The 22,247-nt window shown below is 40.6% G+C and overlaps 1 protein-coding gene across 13 annotated transcripts in view; it reads right to left on the bottom strand.

Annotated features, from left to right (window-relative positions):
* The window catches only part of MBOAT2 (membrane bound glycerophospholipid O-acyltransferase 2), a 150,995-nt gene that overhangs the window by 7,497 nt on the left and 121,251 nt on the right, over positions 1-22,247 (bottom strand). For 4 of the 13 annotated variants that reach the window (NM_001321266.2, NM_001321265.2, NM_138799.4 and 1 more), the window contains 6 exons: positions 16,844-17,027; positions 12,922-13,114; positions 8,260-8,363; positions 3,984-4,048; positions 2,404-2,536; positions 427-578 (listed from right to left, as the gene is read on the bottom strand). In NM_001321266.2, coding sequence (NP_001308195.1) covers positions 427-578; positions 2,404-2,536; positions 3,984-4,048; positions 8,260-8,363; positions 12,922-13,114; positions 16,844-17,027 — 831 coding nt within the window. Of the gene's footprint in view, positions 1-426; positions 579-2,084; positions 2,537-3,983; positions 4,065-8,259; positions 8,364-12,921; positions 13,115-16,843; positions 17,028-22,247 lie in introns of all 13 variants that reach the window. The other 9 variants (NR_135605.2, NR_135600.2, NR_135598.2 and 6 more) reach the window with 5 other exon arrangements.

Genomic DNA, 22,247 nt, shown 5'->3' on the forward strand with positions numbered 1-22,247 from the left:
TCTCAAAAAAAAAAAGATAATTAATAATTCTTTGTAAATAGCTGGTTTTTTCCCCAAAGAAGTTCAGGACAATTAAGCTAACAAGTTTTTTGTTAAATTTAGGAGAGGTTAGCTGGTTTTTTCCCCAAAGAAGTTCAGGACAATTAAGCTAACAAGTTTTTTGTTAAATTTAGGAGAGGTTTGAGGCAGTGGTTACCTGGCTGATATTTCTCTGTCTAAATCACTCATCTGAGGGTTGAGCAGTATGAGTCATTCCACAGAGAAACGCTGAGACTTGCTTGGTTCAGAATTAAAAAGTAACTGATAATGCATTTATCAGCAGGAAATGTGGCTATGGTACTGTTTTTCTATTCTATCCAATAGCAAGAAACTTTCTTTTGAAAATAGAGTTATTCCCACTGACAAAGTTTTAAGAGTAACACTTACCTGTAAAACGTGAGTGATGGTTTTATAGAAAGAAGCACAAATGGCACAACTGTGTAACTTATTGCTACTTGAGTTACTATCCATGTTATAACATCATAAAATAATTTCAGTTGGGAAGGTTCAATGAAATAATGTCTAAAGTTATTTCTCATCTGAAATAAAGAAACAAAAACATTTGCTGTATCTTTAAATTAACATTACTTATGCAGTTACACTGGTGATATCAACTGTTGGAAGGATGTGGAGTAGAGTAACTGAAACTCTCCTAAGTTGCTAGTGGGAATGTACACTGCTACTATGGATAAAGTTCGTTCTAAAAAAGCGAATACACATTGTACACACTGTGTATAAAAGACAGAGAGAGGGGAGATGAGGAAGTAACAGGGAAAACATAAATGACTGGTGAGTCTGGGTAAAGGGCATATAGAAGTTCTTTGCAACTTTTCTGTAGATTAGATTCTGTATTAAAATAAAAGTTTCCAAAAAAAAAAGAAAAGTTTAAGACAACACTGCCTAGAGATCCTTAAATCATATTTGGTAAAATATAGTATATAAATAAAGTTTGGTTTACCTTCATCCTTAACTCTTATTTAACCTCTGCATTTGTGAAAGACAAACTTGGCTTTGCTAATATGCAAGTGCATGGTGTATTTGGGGAATGACAAGTAAATCTAATGGAAGCAGAGAATTCATGTATGCATAGATACCTGGTAATTCTAGAGAGGTAAATGGGGGAAGGGAGGAGGGCAGTGGTAGAACTTGAACACCAGGTAGGGAAGAAGCCTATCCTATTCTGTCTGCTATGGGAGGGAGTTAGGTACAGTTTTTAAGCGCAAGAATGGAATGCCAAAAGCCCGTACCTCAGGACAAATGGATTTGTCATTGGTGAACAGGATGGAATCAAGAGCAGGTGACTGCCATGGTGGTGAGCTAGGCAAGAGATAGCAGAGCCTAGCCACTAAGAATTATGGGTTTTGCTAATGTCCTTCCGATGCTTAGAATGTCATTTTCTTCCCCATTATACTTCACTCACTATTGAAATAACTTTCATCTCTCAAAGTCCAGATCCAAACACCTTCCTAATGGGGCCATCTCTAATTAACCCAACCCAAAGAGACTTCTTCCATCTCTAAACACCTATGCTACTTAGTATTTATAACACCCACAGAATCTGTCTTATGCACACACACACATGCATAAGGTATGTACACACATATACACCTTATCCCAAATTAGACTACAAACTACTGGAAGCTACCCTTAGTTAATACTTCTTGAAATTTCCCTCATATATCCCCAAAGTTCCTCAAAATGGAATACAGTAAATATCTGCTAGTTTGTTAAATGAAGCCCTCTTACCTGTAAGTGCCATTACCAGCTTGTTCAAACATGGTTTTTGTCACGTCACTTTCCTCTAACTGGTTTTCAAGGGCTTACCCTAAATTATCCTTCTCCTTATTTCTTTCATGTCACCAACCTAATTTCTCAATTGTTTCCCCAAAATATTACTCTATGTTCTGTCTAGGCAAATACTCTAAAGAACTGTGTCCTCTTCCAGTGTGGCTCATCCACTGTCTTGGCCTCGCACAGCCTAGTCTTCATCTGAGAGAGGACTCAAAGGTTACAGCTTTCAGGAAACATTTCTAAAATAAACCTACCCATTCTGATCATCTTTATTTAACTCAGTTTTTATCTCTCCTTCAGAAAATTCTGTAAAGACAAAGTAACATTTTGTGAGTGCCTCCTACCTGCCGGGCACATAGAAACGTGTTTTCTCCTCACAGGAACTGGGCATGGAGCCTAGCCCGTGGTGAGCGCTCAGCAAACATGCACGCAGTACACACCTCGCTTCTAGTGGAAAGGACAATACTGACCACGACCAAGGAAAGAGGGTCTACCTTGTAAGAGAGATGTACTCAGCCTTTTTAACAGTTCAAGTGGACCATTGAATTGTAAAATAAAATTCTTGATACTTACAGCTCTTGCTGCTAATGTCATTAACACCCCTGTTAGAAACGTTAGATAATATCCTGGGTATACCCCGTGCCAAATGGCAGAGAGAATGAACGTCTGGATAGTTGGACTGAAGGAGGTTCGTTCATAACACACCCTAGAAACCATGAAAAACATGGAGAGCCAAGTGGAGTGAGTGACCCGAGTTTACAAAGCCTGCAATGATCATTCTTTTATTACCTGACAGGATTTAGGGTAACTAGAAAAACAAATACAACTTATCTTAGGCAATCACTTCTCTATGATCTCAGGGAGGCTATAGCTATTAAGTGTCAAATTTAGGAACATAAAGTTAATTCTCATCTTCTTATTGGTATATATAGTATATATATTGGTATATATAGTAACTTAAATGATCATTTCTAGTATTTGGGAGTCTATACAATTTACAAAAAGAGTAAGGTTGCTTTTATCCTACATTATTTTATTTAAAAAAAATCAATAACTTTCAACTGACCTAATAACACTACTCCTTCCGGCAGATAGACTGTGCTTAGTCTACAATTCTTCTATGACAGGGATAGAGAACTCAGCTGAAAATAAAGTTTCCCTAAGGTATCAAATTTAAATTATAACAATAACAAAAAATAACACAACAGATTAGCTCAGAGGATCTGCAGCCACTGGGGAGACTGCCAGGCACTGTGAAGAGATGACAGCGTATGCTAGCCATCTCAAGGGATAAAGATGTTTAATTTGTCATTTAAAAAAGGACACTATAAAAAAAGGCTGCTTATCACCGTATCGTTATAGGGGCCGTTTTTTATGAAGTAAATTCAAGATAGGGCAATGTGCTCACAGGGACGATAAGAGAACCCCTGGGAGGGTGTGCTGTTCCCCAGCTCTGTCCTTCGCACCTGTTACTCCACCCAGCCTGGCTTGCCTCTACCTTGCCCTGTTCACGAGACACGCTCCTGACACAAACCTCAGCTCAAGCACCCACACTTGTAGGAAGTTCTTCCCGCATCCCTCTGTGCCCTCGCTGTTCCTGCTTTCTCTCTCCTCATCCTCACCACAGGGAACAGCATGTGTCTGATTACACCACCGTGTCTTTAATAAAATTGTGAACTCTTTCACTTTCAGGAGCTGAGTCTTTTTATCTTACTCATGTTTGTTTCCCTTGCCTAACAAATAAAGATTTGTTGAATTGAAATATTTAAAACCAGGACTGTTCTGGAGTACCCAGGCATAAGTACTGTGCTTGTGCAGGCACTTGTTAATTTAAACCACATCTCTACTGAACACAATCAGGAGCTGCAAAGGAGGATACTGGTGACCTCTGACATTGGCAGAGGCCTTTAAAGGAGGCTTGAGAGGGCAGGATAGCTGCACCTGCAGGATAGCTGCATTCGTGACTCAAGCCAAAATAGTTCTCATTCGATACTGACTTGCTTAGGAGGAGGCTAACAGTGTTTCCCGGCTGACACTGAGGTCACAATGTCACTCAACACCGTTAATTTAATCAAGAACCTGAACTCAATGAAGCTCAACCTCGAGAACTAGACGCCAAAGCACATCTAAAGATCGTTTTTGAAGGAACGCACCTTTTGAGCCAAAGAGCTGTCTGAATATTCCAATTATCAAGAAACATCTTGAAACTTGTTGACATCTGAAAAAAAAGGAAACTTTTTTCTTTGTGTCACAAAATAATGAAGCTTTAAATATAATAATATATTATTATGCTAAAAAATAAAAACAAAAATTACTTAACATCGATGGTAGTATAGTGATTTCTCTTTCCTTAATCTTGTTTTTCTAATGTGGTAACATCATTCTACGTAAGACAAGTTTATTTATTGTTGGGAACATCTATGAGGTGATGGATTATCACCATTTTCTCTTGTATGTTAACATTTACAAGGGATGTCATGGATTTCTTCCAAAGACATTCCTGAGAATGTGTACAAATGCCTTTTGATGGCCTCCCTCTCACACTGAAAACTGGGGCGCCCACCTTGTTACCTCCTTCCCGCCAAGCTCCGCCATGGTCCTGGGTGAAGCAGACATCCACCGCGACATCCTGCCCTGCCATCGTCTCTCGGTGCCCTGGCTACTCTCAATTCTGGCGCTGCCTGGCTGTGCTGCCCCTGAAAGAGTGGATCTGCACACCCAGGTCTCACAGGGCATCCCACCTTCCCAGCTTCCTCTCTCAAGTTACTCCCACTAAAGCTATTCTTTGATCTCAGAGGGGGCCTTTCATCTCCCACCCTGTCTACTTTTATCCTATGTAACTCTCTCCTCCTCTGGTCTTCACTTCTGACCATTTTAGATTTTGTGTTCCCTTATGTAAATTACTACTCTTATGTCAGAATCTTCAATGCTTCTGTTTCTTTTTCCTTTCCATTCACCTCCCTATCAAAACCCTAATTCCAGATCAAACACACCGTCCACTTTCCCCACTGGTAACATTTGTGCGCTGAGTGCAGAGTATCACCACATTTCAGACCTTTGTCTTAAGTTCATGGTTCTCCACCACGACTGAGCCCTCACCTACAATCCTGTTTTCCTAGACAGTTCATTCTCCTCTTCCTGAAAAAAGCTACTGGACTGAACCATTTGAAATTTTCTTTTCTCTTTTTTTTCAAAATAAAGTCAAGAAGAGGTAAGTGTCAGCAATTTCGCATGATTCAACCTAATACCCCATCTATATCTCTGGTCCTATCACCTCCTTTCTCCCTCACAACAGGTAAGTTGGCCTCCTACTTTACAGAGATGATATAAAATCATCAGACTCCAAATTCTCATCATCGAACTACACACTCAGCTGCACACACACTTATCCTGCCCTCCTTCCTGTCTTTATAACAGGAGAAGTGGTCCTTCTCCTTTAGGGCCAATGTCTCCACTTCCATCTTCTCCGGGACTTCAATCAATAGGTCTCTCTCCTTCAACTGTAGGAGAAGCTTCACACTCTCCCCTCCAAATAATCTCCTAATCACTAAATATGTTTTACTCTCTCCATTTTAAAACAAAATTAAACAAACAGCTCCCCTCAATTCCCTGTTCCCCTCAGCTACTGCCCTATTTCTACCCTCTTCCCTTTACGGGGAATGAACTCCTAGGAGTTGTGTAATCTGGCCTTTATGCCAATCCCTCTCCTGAAACGGTTGTTCATAAAACCATAAACAAGGATGGGCACGGTGGCTCATGCCAGTAATCCCAGCCCTTTGGGAGGCCGAGGTGGGTAGATCGCCTGAAGTCAGGAGTTCGAGACTAGCCTGGCCAACATGGTGAAAAGCTGTCTCTGCTAAAAATACAAACATTGGCCGGGCGTGGTGGCAGGCACCTGGAATCCCAGTTACTCAGGAGGCTGAGGCAGGAGAATCGCTTGAACCCGGGAGGCAGAGGTTGCAGTGAACCGAAATCGCGCCACCGCACTCCAGCCTGGGCAACAGAGCGAGACTTTGTCTCAAATAAATAAATAAATAAATAAATAAAACCATAAATGATAAAGGCATTTATGTCCTTCTCTTACTTGGTATCTCAGTGGCACTTAGCATTGATGACCATTTTTTCCTTCAGAAAAATTAACTCCTTTCTTTACTTTTTCTCATGCCATGCACTCTCAGCAGGGGTGATATCGCCCCCAGGAGATGAAAATTCGTTCTTAAGGGGCAAAAATATCTTTTTTTATGTATAAAGAACATATATACATACAGTAGTGTATCAATAGGTATACAGATACACAGTGTATCTGTGGTATTAAAATTTCAGGGGGGAAATTATTAGGAAAAGAGTGTCTCAAAAGTCCTCTTAAGGTGTTAATAATAAACAAAGGTGAGAAACACTGCTATATCCATCATTCAACTTCAACAATGATCAATTTTTCCCTCTCCTTCTCCATTTTTATTGCCAACATTGTTGTTAAGAATATTTCAAAGCAAATACCAGACTTATTTCACCTGCAATTAGTTCAGAATATATGTCCAATAAATAAAGACTTTTTAAAAGACCATGATCAAACAAAATTAATAATTCCTCAACATTATCTAATCCCCCTTTGTATTCAAATATTCCTGATTGTTTAGAAAAGTCTTTTCCAGTTGGTTTGGTCAATCAGCATCCCAAAAAAGTTCATACAGTGCATTTGGCCAAAGCCTCTTTTAATCTGTAACAGCTTGGGTCATATGTCCCATAGAACTTCTCACTTTTGATCTGATCTGGTGTTTAACTTACCCTCTATACTCCACATCCCCTCTAAATTTGTAAGTATCTAGAAATCCGATTCAGATTTGGTTATCTCAGCACACTTCAGTGATGGCCTGCATTTCTTATGGCATCCCGTCTCGGGCACTTACTGCCTGACTGCCCACTTTTAGCAATATTAGGGCTCATCAGAGGATCCAGCTTGGCCTCTTCACCTCAAGTTTTAGTAATCTCTTCTATTTGGAATGTTGGAATGATCCTTTTCGCAGGCTAGCAAAACAATGGTTTTCTTTTTTTTTTGAGACAGGGTTTTGCTGTGTCACCCAGGCTACAGTGCAAGTGGCACGATCACGGCTCACTGCAGCCTGCTGAGTAGCTGGGTCTACAGGTGCTCACTACCATGCCCAGCTAGTTTTTGTATTTTTTGTAGAGATGGGGTTTTGCCATGTTGCCCAGGCTGGTCTCAAACTCCTGAACTCAAATGATCTGCCTGCCTTGGCCTACCAAAGTGCTGGGATTACAGGTGTGAGCCACAGAGCCCTGTTGGTTTTCTCCTTTTTTCTTTCTGGCTACTCCTGAATTCCTTTGCCCAGCCTCTCAGTACTGGTGCTCTTTTAGAGACTCTCACCTCTTCTGATTCTCTCCTCCAGGGCCTGAACTGCCACGTGCTGATAGTTCCCAGATTTCACTCTCAAGCTCGGGTGCCTCTGCTGAGTGTCTGACCATGATCTGCCTCGTGGACAACTCACTAAGTCTGTGATTTGAAGATATTATCTGTCCCTTCAAACTCATATCTATTCTCTGTTCCTTATCTAAGTGGAAGCTATCACCATAAACCTAGATGTTTAAACCAGATTTCTGGGCCTGATTCATAACTCATTCTCTCTTGCTGATCCCAATTTATCACCAAATTCTGTTGAGTCTCTTACACATCTCTCCAATATATTTATATGTTTCTAGCCCCACTGGCAGTATATGGTTTAGGTCACCATTATCTTGGATTAACAAAACATCCTCCTAACAGAGCTCTCTGCCTCTTGAGGGAAATACATTCTACATGCCAGATCCTTCTAAAACACCTATATGATCACCTCACTTGGCTACACATATAATCCATCCGCAGTGCCCCATTGCTCTTATAAGAAAGATCAAAACTCTTAATATGGCCTGTAAGAGTGTGGCTGCCTGGCCTCCACTTCCCCAACCTCATCCTTCATGACTCCCTAAACTATGAAGCAACATGAGCTGCACAGCTCTCGGCTCCCAGGCTGCTCCCTCTACTTGGAGTGTCCGGTTGTCTCTTACTTCTTTGGGACTCAGCTTAAGCATCATTTTCTTTAGGACTCTCTTCCCCCAAACACCTCAACTAACCTGGATTCCTATTTCATGAATACCCACATGCCTTACCCCTCTCTGATCACCACCTGTTTTACCTTATTCTGTAACCTCTAGGAAACTAAAGCTCCATGAGGGCCTGAATTGCACCTATCTTATTCCTTGTCTCCAGTGCCCAGGGCACATAGTTGACGACCAATATGTATTGGTTAAATGAAAGAATGAGTGTTAATATTAAAAAACCTTCAATACCACTCCTAGGACATCACACCATAACTTATGAAAGCAAACTATGGTACTTAAAGTATATAGTAACTAACTTCTTAAAGATTGACTCACCTCTATTTGTTGAATTCTCAAATTGGAAATTAAGTCCCAGCGAGCTGCTCCATTTTCGTCATACCCTCTGAAACCAAAGCCTGCAGCATTATTAATGGCATCAGCTATAGAAAACAACATTAGAAAAAAGTATTAAGAATCTCCATAACAATTTACCATATTCTCCCAGAAGGTATGTGTTATTATATCTTTTATTCTTAAACAGTAAAAGTAGATTTATTCTGATTTTTAAGTCAGAAACAACATCGCATACAATGAAAATAACATATCTAGGACAATTTGGTTAGTCAGTAATACATGAGACATCATGCATGAGTTGGGGGCGGGTAGAGTTTAAAAGCTGCTGAGGACCAATAGGTGAAGGTGAAGACTCGAACAGGAAACGCTCCCCAACATTAGCTGTGCCACTGGAACACAGCAGAGTACGCTCAACCAGCTGCCAAGAAGTTGCTAAGGGGATGTTTTTGCTCTGGGAGCACCATGTTCTTTTTAATCATATATTTGAAGTGTCCTATAAACAATAATATATAAGTGAGGCATAATATTTTCCTTCCATTTTTTTTCTTTCTTGGTTCACCAGAACCTACTCTGTGTATATGTCTCTAGAATTTTTAAAAAATAGAGACAGGGTCTCCCTGTGTCACTGCCCAGGCTGGAGTGGCAGGATTATAGCTCACTGCAGCCTTGAACTCTTGGGCTCAAGCAATCCTCCTGTCTCAGCCTCCTGAGTAGCTGGGACTGCAGGTGCACATCATCATGCCTATTTTTTTTTTTTTTTTTTTGTAGAGATGGGGGTCCCACTATGTTGCCAAGGTGGTCTCGAACTCCTGGCCTCAGGCCATCTTCCCACCTTGGCCTCCCTAAGTGCTGGCATTTCAGGCAAGAGCTACCGCACCCGACCCAGAATTTGTTTTCTAATCCTTTTCACCACAATGCTCAATTAGTTATTTTTGCTTTATGTACATGCTTAAGCTGCAAAAAAAATTTCTGCCTCAAATAAGCCCTTTTCCAATCAACTGGAAAATTGTTCATGCTATTTGTATCATGACCAAAGAAAAAACAAACAAATCCATCAAAGCCCAGCAAAATAATATACCTATACAGACATGTATCCTTAAATTGTTTTATTGTTTATTAGTGCTTTTTAGTACATCAAACAAAATCCTTTAAAAATTACACTTTGGGGGAAAAGAATAAACAAGATTTACTCCTCTGTCAGGTTTAATGAGGTCAGCCGCCTTTGTTCAATTCACATAAATATGAGCCTCTAAGGTAAGCCTGCTAGCATAGTAACATATTCAACAGAATTAAAAATCTATTAACCGCATGGGCAGCATACCCATAGAAATGGCTGCTGGGGAACTCCTTCCCTCCCTCATGGTTGCCAACACTTCTGATTTGTTCATGTATTCATCCTCTCCATCTTTTTTAGCCTACTGTGATCTAAGAGCAATGAAACTCCTAACCAACTTCACAAGTGACAACAAGATTGGCCCAGGGTATGGTCAACAGCAACGAAACAAGAAGAGAACTGGGGATATCAAACTGCAGGAGTCCACCTTCCATGTTCCCCTGCCCCCCAGTCTCCCACCACAGACCCTGCCTAATCTTTACCTCAGGTAATGTAAATCCTGAGAGAGCTTCCAAGTTGTCATTATATAGAGATATTCCAAATAACTGACCATTAACATCAATTTAAACTTTAATCTGTCCCTACATGGACTAAATGTTTTTCAAACTTGAGTTAAAGGGAAAAAAAGTGCTCAGATCCCAGTAAATCATTTTTTTGAGGTGATAAGGAGAAAAGGGCAGGGCCACAGGGCTGTGGAGATGAGAAGCCTGATTCCCATTTTGAGAAGCCTGAATTAAGGAATTAAATATAGTCTGCCTAGCCACTAGTATCCATGAAATTATAATTTGAAAAATGTACATGTGGATACAAAAATCAGAAAGTAACTGTCCATATGATCCAGAATACATTCATACTATTTTTATAAATTATTAGTAAAATACAAAAACAAAGTTAAAGAATTTTGGAACTCTTGGACTTCCCAAAAAACAGATTTTTGGACCTCCAGAGATCATTAAACTCCAATTTTACAACCAAATGGACAATTACAAAAAGGTGACAGGGGTGGAGATGAACGTGGGCACATGCATGCTGAGCCTCAGCTGGCTTCTCCACTGACAGAGTTGAAACCTGAACCTCAGCGCTGAACCATTACCAGGAACTCAACCATTACTTGTGTTAAGACAGTACAGACATAGTACAAGTATTTATTGCATGGAATAACTTTATTGCCTTACAGCTAAAAATTCTTTAAATTCTTTAAATATAGTTCAATTTCAAATTGTCATTCATATATATTCTAATATGATTATTTCTTTAAGGAAGAATCAGGGAAAAGGAATTAACTCACCTTTGGTTTGTAAATATGTAAAAATGCACAAGATTCATTTTTCAAACCAAATATTGGGGTCGGAGGATCAGAAGTACCCTAAGAATCATTTTAATTGTCATAATTGCAAATAAAAAATTAATGATAAATTTGGTTGATTTTTTTTTTGAGGCAGGGTCTCACTCTGTTACCCAGGCTGGAGTGTAATGGTGCGATCACAGCTCACTGCAGCCTCAACTTCCCTGGCTAAAGCGGTACTCCCACCTCAGACTCCTGAGTAGCTGGGACCACAGGTGTGCAACACCACACCTGGCTAATTAAAAAAATTTTTTTTGAAGAGATGGGGTCTCACCATGTTGCTCAGGCTGGTCTCAAACTTCTGGCTTCAAGTCATCCTCCTTCCTCAGCCTCCCAACATGCTGGGATTACAGGTATGAGCCACGTGCCCGGCCTAATGATAAATCTTGTATATTTTTACATATTTACAGAGATCTTGTGATTTTTCTCAAAAGCCTTATAAATTCAAGGACCTCGTTCTATTGATAAGATTTCCAACAACTAGATGTCCAACCGAATCCAAAAACATGCAGAACTCTCATATTCTATGAATCTAGCGATTCAACCAACAGGTCAGAATTCTTACAAAACCCTAAAAATACCAGGTTTGTTTAGGAAAGTTCTCAGTCTCAATTTAAAGTCAGAATTTAAGTAGTACAGGAATTTAATTCGGTATTATTGATGTCTAAATTTGGCTACAATAAAAATGTTCAATCCTTAAAGAAATCTTAGATTAAAATCCATAAGGTAACATATTTTAATTGGCCATTAACTCACTAGGTTACAGCAACTTTTAATGATGCTATTGTGCACAGCTGTATGATGAAAGACTGAAAATAATGAATCCAGCCCCAAACTGTATTTCACTGTAATCAAAATAAAACCGACAGTAAAATGCTAATCCTTAGAGGCCTAATTATTGGCTGATGTGTTTCTTTGTGCATTCATTCAAATATTTGTTGAGTAACAAATATAAACAAGGCAAGCAGAACACAATCTTAAGAATAAAGGAGTTTATAATCTTGTGGGTGAGATAAAAAGACAATACATATATAAAAGAGGTTTCAATTTATCCAATGAAGCATTCTCTCTACTTTAGTCCAACCTTCAAAACGTGGCCAGAATCATCTTCTTCTGCCACAGGATCAGGCCATCAGCCTGCCTGAAGCCTTTTGTGGCTAATTCAGCAGAGCAGGCAAGGTCCTGTGAAAGCCCATTTCACCTGACCAGGTCCCTCCTTCCCACATGCCCCTGCTAACATCTGCCACGCAAAGCGAGGTACCTCCATGTCTCTTTGCTCATGAGTGCAAAACTAGCCATTTTCCACTTGCTGAAATCACATTCCATCTTTTTGTTTTTGTTTTTGAGACTACCTAGGGGTTATTGCTCAACTCATATTAAAACCTCACTCTGTCGCTCAGGCTGCAGTGCAGGGGTGCAATCATAGCTCATTGCAGCCACAAACTCCTAGGCTCAAGCGGTCCTCTCACCCCAGCCTCTCAAGTAGCTGGGACTACAGGCACATGCCACCAGGCCTAGTTGATTTTTAAAAATCTTTTTGTAGAGAGAGGGGTCTCACTATGTTGCCCAGGCTGGTCTTGAACTCCTGGCCTCAAGTGATCCTCCCACCTTGAACTCCCAAAGTGCAGGGATTATAGGGGTGAGCCACCATAACTGGCCCACATTCAATTAAAGCCACGATTGCATGTTATCTTTTCTCTAAAATTTGTTCTACCTGCCAAGCATAACTGATGACCCCCTATCAATGTGCCAATATCATTTTATTCACTTTGCTGATAAACTACTGATCATATTATACTATGGCTAATGGTCTATTTAACAGGTATCATAACTGTAAGCTGAATACAATCATACTAAATTATAACCATCTGGAGGATAAGAACTATGTCTTATACATACTCGTATCTATCCTGGCTAGCACTGAATCTAGAATATAATATGCATTCAACAAATATCTGTTGTCTTTCATTGATCCATGTATTTTTATTTTGTATTATAATAAAATTGATTCAGTTTTTAGAATATACTTACATATGAGTTGCGAGGGCTGTTTTTTCTACACAGATGACTTAATTTTTCCAATTGGTCTTTATGTATCCTCAAGAGGGCGCACTGATAGCAATCTATCGACAAGGTAAGAAACGCTTCAACCAGACACAGGGAAATCTATTTACATGTTACTTACCTAGCGTCCATGCAAAATAGTATTTGGGTCTGGCAGCCAAAAGAGAGATATACAGATAGATAATCTTTGTTGGCCACGAAGCTGTAGCTTGAAAATGCTCATCAATGTTGTACTCCACAGGTAATGTTGTACAGATGGTCAAGTGAAATAACAAGGACAGCCCACAAACTAAGAGCTTCTGAACAACCGCAGTCTGAAAAGCGCAAGGCGAGACTTCATCAACTTTATCCATGCTCCTTTTAATTCATTCTATGTATTATCGACAGATTAATCTTCCTGAATGGATCATCAGTCCTACAACTCTCCTGGTCAAAATTCAAGAGCTACATTGCACTTGGCATTTAAAGTCTTCCATGGTCTCATGGTATGAACTTTTCCAACTGTATCTATAAGTACTACCTAGGGGTTATTGCTCAACTCATACTAAAATCTCCATTTTGTATTCAGAATTTTCAGGAAATAAAAAAATCTAAAAGCAAGCATAAGTGTATTGGTGTGAATGGAAGTGAATATAAAAAATTAACACTAATTACTTTTGGCAATAAATTTTATATGGATATATATATTTTTTCCATTGTGTCTTTTCTGTATTTTCCAAATTCTAGGCATCTCATGGATGTTATTTTTACAATAAACAATCTATGCATCTCTGTAAATCTGAAAGTTAACACAACTTTGTTCAAGAATAATAAAAACCAAAAGAGCTATACACCTGAGAAGAATAAGAATTTGCATAAAAGACCCTGGTGAAAGGAAGAGGCTATTCTTAGCAATAGTGCGGTAAGGTCGCATCACCAACTCATGGTATTTTGTATTTTTACAACTCATGCTGTTTTTATATTTGTAGAAGGCCAGAATATTTCAACTTCATTTGGTATAAAAGAGATTATATAGGCTAGGAAGAAAAAGAAACAAGCGAAGAGAAGGCTAGATCCAGATGAAGTATGCAACAAAATATCTGGATTTAGAAGTGCTCTATACAGTAACCAAATAGTATTCAAATTAACTGCAGTAATTTATCAATGAAGCTCCACATTTTAACACTTTATATAATAGTGCCAGAAGAAAAGCTCCAAGACAAGAGCCAAAGCATATGCCGGATGCACTGCACTTCTGAGAACAGTATTTTATTATTGGTTGCTCCTGCGAGGTGGAACTCAGTGTTCAAGGACTCCTTGCAGCAGTTGTTATTCTCATTTTCCATTGTCTTTTATCCCTTTCTTTAATAAAATAAGGCTACTCTTTCTTCAGTGCCTCCCAAATATCTTACCTATACATTTGAATTATGAGATTTTAAAATGGTAGAGAAAAAAATTGTAATTATAAATGAAGCAAGGTGAAATAAATGGCCCCATACTTTAATTTTAAAATGAGGCTTATCATTTTAGTAATGTAATAAGAAGTACTGTGGCCACGAGACTATATGGTTCTGAAGTAGGGCAGGGATATGGTGCTGCAACGAAAATGTAAAGAACACGAAAACAGCCTGTATCCTGAGAGGTGATATCCTCAGCCCCCTTCCCCTGCCCAGACCCAGAGTCCCAGCAGTCAAGTTTGTATGCCCTAGGCAGAAAACTGGAGAATCCTTCACCCAAAAAACCAAAGAGCCCCAGAGAAATAGCCTACAGACATCATGACAGAGACTGCCAAGTGTTTCCCAGGAGCCCTCCTCCCCTTCCTGCACAGAAAAGGAAGTTTCTCTTGGGTGCTTGGAAGTCTAGCTAAAGATGACACATCATAGCCTTTGGTGCACCCGAGTGTGGCTATATGATTAGGTTCTGGCCAATAGGATATGAGCAAAAGTAATATGTACAGGGAAGATGGAGCTTGGATCTCTAACACTTTGGGGCCCCCATATTATCAATGCACTGCTTACAGGTGAGCTGTCCCACATATAACATAAAAACAAATTTCCACCTTGTTTAAGTTCCTGTTATTTTGGTCCTTGTTTCAGCAGCCAAACCCATATCCTAACTGATGCAGATAGAGGAGAGAACAGTGGAGAGGTCCCCAACAGAAGAGCCAGTGGGCTCCGTGAGCATCCTCCTTAGGATCCTGAGCATCTATGCACTTCACTGATGCACAAGGAGCTTCCAAATGCCCCTTGAGGGACTTATGACTAACTACCACTATTTGACTTTATAAAGTATATGCACGTGAAATTTAAATAAAATATATTATTAAAATGGTGGGAAAATACATGAAGAATATTTGCCATTATCAACAACCTCTGATTTAGGATGTCTATAACCCAAAAGAGGAAAGTGATATTTTATGATAGTAAAACCCATAAAAACTCAGTGAAGTGATAGAATATATACATTTGTATTATTCTTTGTCAAGTTTGATTTACTACTATCACTTTTATAACATTTGATATTTTCAAGTATTTTACAAAGTCATTTGATCTTCATACAGTCTGTAAAATGGGGAAGACATTAAGATTCTCCTTTTGCAGACAAGGACTCATACACATTAAGTGATGTGCCGAAATGATGAGCCAAACTGGTCACTGACAGTCCAGCATCTTGACTCCTAGGCTTTTATTCTCCTTCCAGCATTCCCGAATAAACTTCTAAGAAGCTGTCTACAATTGTCTTTACCTTCTCTTACAGCAGGGAGACCACTAAAAGATTAAGTGGTCATCCTGGAGATACAAAACAGTCAGTGAAGAGACACCAATTTCAAGTCTGGAATCCCACTCAGTTTGATATGACATTTCTCAACACTTAACCAGTAATAGAAAATATGAAGACAAAACACCTTTTTGGTATAAAATACAATGAGCGACATGGTAGGAAAGAGGTAATATACTATCTTTTGCAAGTGCAGGTACATTTCTACATTGACTCTTTGTTGCCCACACAGTGGAGGGTGGTAGATTTGCAGGAGAAAGAAGGTGACCCCTTGCTCTAAGCCCTACATTCACAGAAAACACACCAGCCCCTTTCCTTCATCTCACAGACTTCCTGATTGGCCTATTCTTTTTCATGGAAACTTTATAGATTTTACCAGATGAAATCTAACAGAAACTTAGCCTATACAGAGCCTCACTGCCTTTCTTTATGAAGCAGCATCCCAGCAATTTCAAGTGCCCCAGTGGCTTAAAGAAAATAAACATTATGTTTGGTTGTAAGGCAACTTAGCATAGACTTGAAACCAGATTGCACTGGTTTGAATTCCAGTTCTACTGCCAACCTGGGGAATCTTGGTCAAATCACTTAGCCTCTGAGTCTCAGTTTCCTCAATGGTGAGAAAAACAGTGTCTACCTTGTATGAATGCTGTGAAGGCTGAAAGAGTAACTACGTGTGAGGTGCACACCACAGTGCCTGGCACATGGTGAGCACTGTCAAAGTGTTAGCTATTATTAATATCTTTATCATATTACTAATCTCTTCATTGTGGGAATCAGGAGCTGTTTTGTGGAAAAAGGTGGTATTTGAAGTAGGCTTTTAAAGAGAAGAAAGATTTCAACTTGCAATAATTAAGAAGAGGAGAGGGAAAGCAAAAAAGAAATGGAGGATACAGAGTGTTTACAATCTGCTGGAACACAAGGCATAGGTAAGAAAGAAATAAGAAAGAAAGAAAAGGAAGGGAAGGAAAGGGGGAAGGGGGAAGGGGGAAGGGAGCCTGGAAAATTGTTAGGCTGGCCAATTCCATGCTAAGAGCTTTCTTGTAAAATCCCCTATAACCATAAAGCATTATTCTCACTGAGGAATTTACCACATAGTTTCTCAAGTGACCTTATTTGTGTTCTTAATCATGACTGTACTTCTACCAGGTGCAGTGTGAAGTTATTTATCTTGAAAAGTATTTTTAAAGAAACAGATGGATAAGTTCACAATGTGAAAATATTTGTATCTTTAAATAAGACTAACCAATACATGCTGTAAAGGCTCCAGATAAATCTCATGACCTTACATTTGGAGATGGCTCTGTTCTTTCATACTGTGTCTCTTCTTTTCCATTTTCACCAGATTGTGTGATATGGTATGATCTGCCTTCAATGAAAGTAATGTAGTCTTTGTAAGAGCAAAGTGGGCCTGCCAGGATCCCCATGAAGTTACAGTTGTAACTCAAATACTCCAGTAAGCTTGGCATGCGCCTGCAATGAAAAGACATGCAACCAGTGAGATGCAGCATAAGCTTCAGAACATCTGATAGAATAACGATCCACCTCACTGCTCTCCATTTCCAAAGTAAAACAAGCTTTCATTTTCATTTGTACCCATACAATAAGAATTTTAAGGATCAGAACATAGTCATGCTCAAAAGTATGTCTGAATAAGAGTTTCTATACAGATCCTTATGAGCAAATATGAAGGTTTCAACTTAGATTTCTCACGATGAGACAAATCAAAGATGGACGCACTATCTGCAAAGTGCTGTCTCCTCCTAGGCAATCATTTGCTCTTCTAACAAACACGTGCTGTGCACTGTGTGCCCCACCTGCTGCAGGGCCTGGATACGGCAGTAAACAAAGGAGAGGACAATCCTGCATCCACAGAGCTTGCATACTGGTTGCAGAAAACAATAATAAAATTTATAAAACATATTTTCAGAAGTGCTAAGTGTTACAAAAAGAAGGAACTCTTTTATTCTATTAAGAAGTCAGAGAAGGCCTCTCTGGTAAGGTGACAGTTGAGCAGAGACCAGGAAGAAGTGAGAGGAGTTGTGTGGATGTTGGTGACAGGGGTTCCAGGCAGAGGGAATGATGCGTGAAGACCCCTGAGCTGGGCACGGCTGGCAGCAAGGCAGCCGTGGGGCTGGAGCAGAGTGGACCCGGGGGAAGAGGTGGGAGCAGGGAAGACAGCTGAGGTGAGATCAGATGGGGCTTGCCTTACAAGCCATGGCAGGAACTTCAGATTTTATTCTGACTGAAATGAAAAAACACAGCAGGGGTTTAAAAGATCTGTCTCAATGCGTCACTCCAGCCCATGTGTGGGGCTCCTGCGGTCTCCAGGCAGGAGGTGACAATGGCTGGAGGAGGGGGCAGATGCTCTGCACGTATCCTGGCAGTGGAGCCTGAAGGCTGCGGAGGGATTGGCTGTGAGGTGGAGGAGAAAAGGGAGTCAAGTCAATTCCACTCCTTAGAGGTCTGTCCAAATGATACATGGTACCTATGGGTAACAGTGAAAATGGGTAGTTAACACAGGAGACTATTTAGACTATTTATGTTACCATATAAATGAATAAGGAGTGTATTTAAAAAAAACAGCTGCATTAAGAAAGCCTACTGTCCACTGTTAATGATAAACCATCACAAAGAAAGCACAACTGCACCTGTGGACAGCAGGCAGGCTTCTTGAACATGTTACAGTCCATGCTCCTCTCTGAATATGATAAGCTCTCTCCTTAAAAAATACAAACACTCTTGTGGACAAGAGAGGTTGAGAGAATACCCTCATAAACAGTTTTTTAAAGAGCTAGGTCTTGTTATGTTGCCCAGGCTGGACTCAAACTCCTGAGCTCAAGCAATCCTTCTGCCTTGGCCTCCTGAGTAGCTGGGATGACAAGCACACACCACCTTGCCTAGCTTAGCATATATTATTTTTCTTTGATAAATTAAATAGAACAAAATAGTGATTCCTGTCCATCTGATACTATCTGGGTTACCACTCAGCCCAAACTACTTTTCTAACTTTTCCAGAATTATTTTTCCACTTTTAAAAATGTCTTGAACCTTGGCCGGGCGCGGTGGCTCACGCCTGTAATCCCAGCACTTTGGGAGGCCGAGGCGGGCGGATCACGAGGTCAGGAGATCGAGACCATCCCAGCTAAAACGGTGAAACCCCGTCTCTACTAAAAATACAAAAAATTAGCCGGGCGTAGTGGCGGGCGCCTGTAGTCCCAGCTACTTGGGAGGCTGAGGCAGGAGAATGGCGTGAACCCGGGAGGCGGAGCTTGCAGTGAGCCGAGATCCCGCCACTGCACTCCAGCCTGGGCGACAGAGCGAGACTCCGTCTCAAAAAAAAAAAAAAAAAAAAATGTCTTGAACCTTAAGTATTTTCTTTTTAGGGCTTGAAACTGATGACAGAAAATGTTTCTGGCAGATTTTCTCTTTCAGTTCTTTCTATTTAATGATGAAACAGCATGCTTTCTCACTGTATCAAAGACCAGGGTAAGTACCCTGCAGTCACAAGGTTACAAAAGAACTCCTTGTACTCTAGCAGCAGAGCTCCATTCTCAATACCAATTATTTTAACACCAAGTCAAACTATGTATCACCGTTAGCAAGGACAGGAGATAGTTCTAAACCATGAAACTGGCTTAAGTAATTTTTGGCTCAACTGTCATATCAAACAACAAGTCATTTTAGGTACCGAAGTAAGTAACTGTATTTATTTATAAAATGAGAACTTAAGTCTAATTGTAATGTATAATATCAAACAAAAGACTCATTCATTCATTCCATTGCTATTTCATATCAACTATGTGTTGTCTCAAGCTTGGGCTTCTCGTGTACAGAATTATTGACACTTTGGGCCCATGATTCTCTGTGGTGGGGTCCCCTGTGCAGTGCAGGGTGTTTAGCAGCACCCCTAGGCGCTACCCACCGGACGCCAGTAGCACCACCCGCCTCAGCAGTAACAACCAAAAGTGTCTAGACATTGTCAGCTGACTCTTGGAGGCGAAATCACTCCAAATAATGACCACGGTTTGGATGATGGGGACAATAAATGAGACAAAGTTCCTGTCCTCAGTGACAGGGGCAGGGAGAGGGACAATTAAAACAAATGTCTTGTATAACATCAGACAGTAATACCTACTATGAGGAAAACAAAGCGGAGCAAAGGGACGGAAAGTGATGGCAGGAAGGGAGGGGTATTTTTGATAGAGTGAGCTGCACAGTTAAGAATGAATTGAGTGAGGAAGCGTGGTCGAGCTCTGGGCTCTTCCTGGGCCTTATAATGCTGTGGTCAGGGGTTTGTAATTCTATTCTAAATTATAGGGGAAGCCACTGGAGGATTTTCATCAGGGGACAGGAGTAATATAATCCAATGCACATTAAAAGCTTCCCTGGCTGCTAGCTGAAAAGTAGGCTGCACAGGGCATGGGAGAAAATAGGGAAGCCAGGAAGGAAAGCTACCACAGCAGACCAAGCAGAAAATGAGGGTTTGTACTGGGATGTGACGGGTGGAAGAGGTGAAAATCAGTCAGATTAGAGATTAATTTTAAAGGAAGGGCTAACTTGACTTGCTGGTGAAATGGATTTGCTGTAAGAAAATGGAAGTCCCCCCAAGCCACCAGTGATAATGGTACTGCTATTAGCTAACTGGGTGAAAATGGTGGAGGAACAGATGCGGGAGGAGGAAGGAGGAGGGAGACAAATCAGAAGTTCTGTTTTGAACATGTTCTGTTCGAGCTGCCTGTCACTATCCATACAAAGACCTTGAAATGGCAGTTGGATAAATGAGGCTGGAGCCGAGGGGAGTGGATTGGGCGGGAATATAAATTAAGGAGCCTTCAAACACGAAGATGGCCTTTCAAGCCAATGGATGTGACCACCTGGAGAAAACGAAGTCCAGGGCTGAGGCCAGGCTAGTGGTAAGGCAGAAGCAGGGGCAGAGGATGCAGCAGAAGAGACAGAGAGAAAGAGCCAGTGAAGGAGGAGAAAAATTGAAAGAAGGGAGTGTCCTGGAAGGAAGTGAAGAAGGTATTTCAGAAGAGTGGCCAACTGGCCAATGCTGCGAGGTTCAGCATCATGTAAAAAGGCTGACAGTGAAATCGGCCAAGATTAAGGGCAATCTTGAAAGAATGAGTTCAGACCAAGAGTGGGCACAAAAACCTGAATGCAGGGGGCTGAGGGGAGAATGAGGGGAGACACTGAATGTCGACAAAGCCTTCAAGAAGTGCTCCTCTAAAGGAACATGCAGTAATGGGGTGATGGCCAGAAGGGAATGAGAGGTGTCATGAGCTTGTTCTGTTCAGGTGGTGGGGATGGCCCAACAGAGAGGGAGAAATCAGTGAGTGAACAGGCAGGAGTAACTGACGCAGCTAAATCCTTGAGAAGGAAGTGAACTCCGTGCAGCAGTGAGAAGCTGGCCTTCGATTAGATGATGGACAGCTAGTACTTGACACCAGGAAAGAAAGTAGAGCACTGTGTTATAGATTCAGGCAGCATGGGAGATTTGGTGGTTGCAGAATCAAAGTAGGATTGCTTTTTTTTCTCTCCAAAAAATAAAATTTTGCTACCAACATGAGTATGGGGGACGGTGTGTTAGAAGTCTGGGAGGAAGGAGACTATATCATCTTAGAAGAGTGTGGGCAAGTGAGTGGACTGAGGAAATGCAGTACTACTGGCGATACTAAGGATCCTAATTTTAAATTGGGGTAATAAATTCAAAATGAGTCCAGTCAGCAAGACAGTGTTTTTCTACTCAGCATTCTTCCCCTGTTCAGGTAGGTGAAGAGGTGGGGTTACCCAGGTCTGGGGATTTGCTCTCGATGTGAGAGGCACAGGGGAAATGGCAGCTGAGTGTCTGTAAATGAATAGCTACTGGGATGGCACAAGGGCTCCTAAAGATCAAAGAACCAAGACCAAATCAACCTCTCGTCAGGAAAGCTACTCAAGTGTCTATTTATTGATACATAAAGATTGACTATAGGGGATATCAGAATAGAACATTTTTAAAGACAGGAAAATACAAAAAGACCCCCAAGACATGCTACTTGGGATGAAAGATGAATACTTAGTGTAGTTCTAAATAATATCACAAACAATCTCATTCTTCTAGCAGCTATGCACTTATTCATTCTAGATTTGGAAACAACGTAATCTGTGGGAAATTTTTCTTTAAGTATAATGAGTATTCCATCTCAAATTATATTAGTTGAGATAGACACTGTGAAATTAAGCCATTCCTTAGATTAGTCATCAGAGTGCCTTTAATAAATGAAGTAGAAGCTTATCCCAGAATGAATTCCTCAAATAATAATGAGAATTATCTGACTGGTTCTTTATTATTTCAAAATATGGCATCGATGTGCTATATTAATGTATTATATCTTAGCCCAGTACCTGCCATCAAGTTATTGGCCTGTAAATGGTAGCTGCTATTATTACCAGTAATTACTACATGGCAGACATGAAGACAATACTATCCTCCTGTCTTCAAGGAACTCAGAGTCTCATAGGGATGAAAACTTTAGCAGCTAACCTCGTGGCCCATAGGAGGCGCAAATGTACAATCGCAGAGGCAGGGTGCTACAGGAGCCCTAGAAGGGATGCCCAGGCCTGCCCAGCAGGCTTTGGCAGGAGGGAAGTGCATGGAGAGAGTGAGGCTTGATTTTCAGAAGTAAGTACCTCTAGAAGGACTAGTCA

This window comes from Homo sapiens, chromosome 2 (assembly GCF_000001405.40).
Source record: "Homo sapiens chromosome 2, GRCh38.p14 Primary Assembly".
NCBI classification, from domain to species: Eukaryota; Metazoa; Chordata; class Mammalia; order Primates; family Hominidae; genus Homo; species Homo sapiens.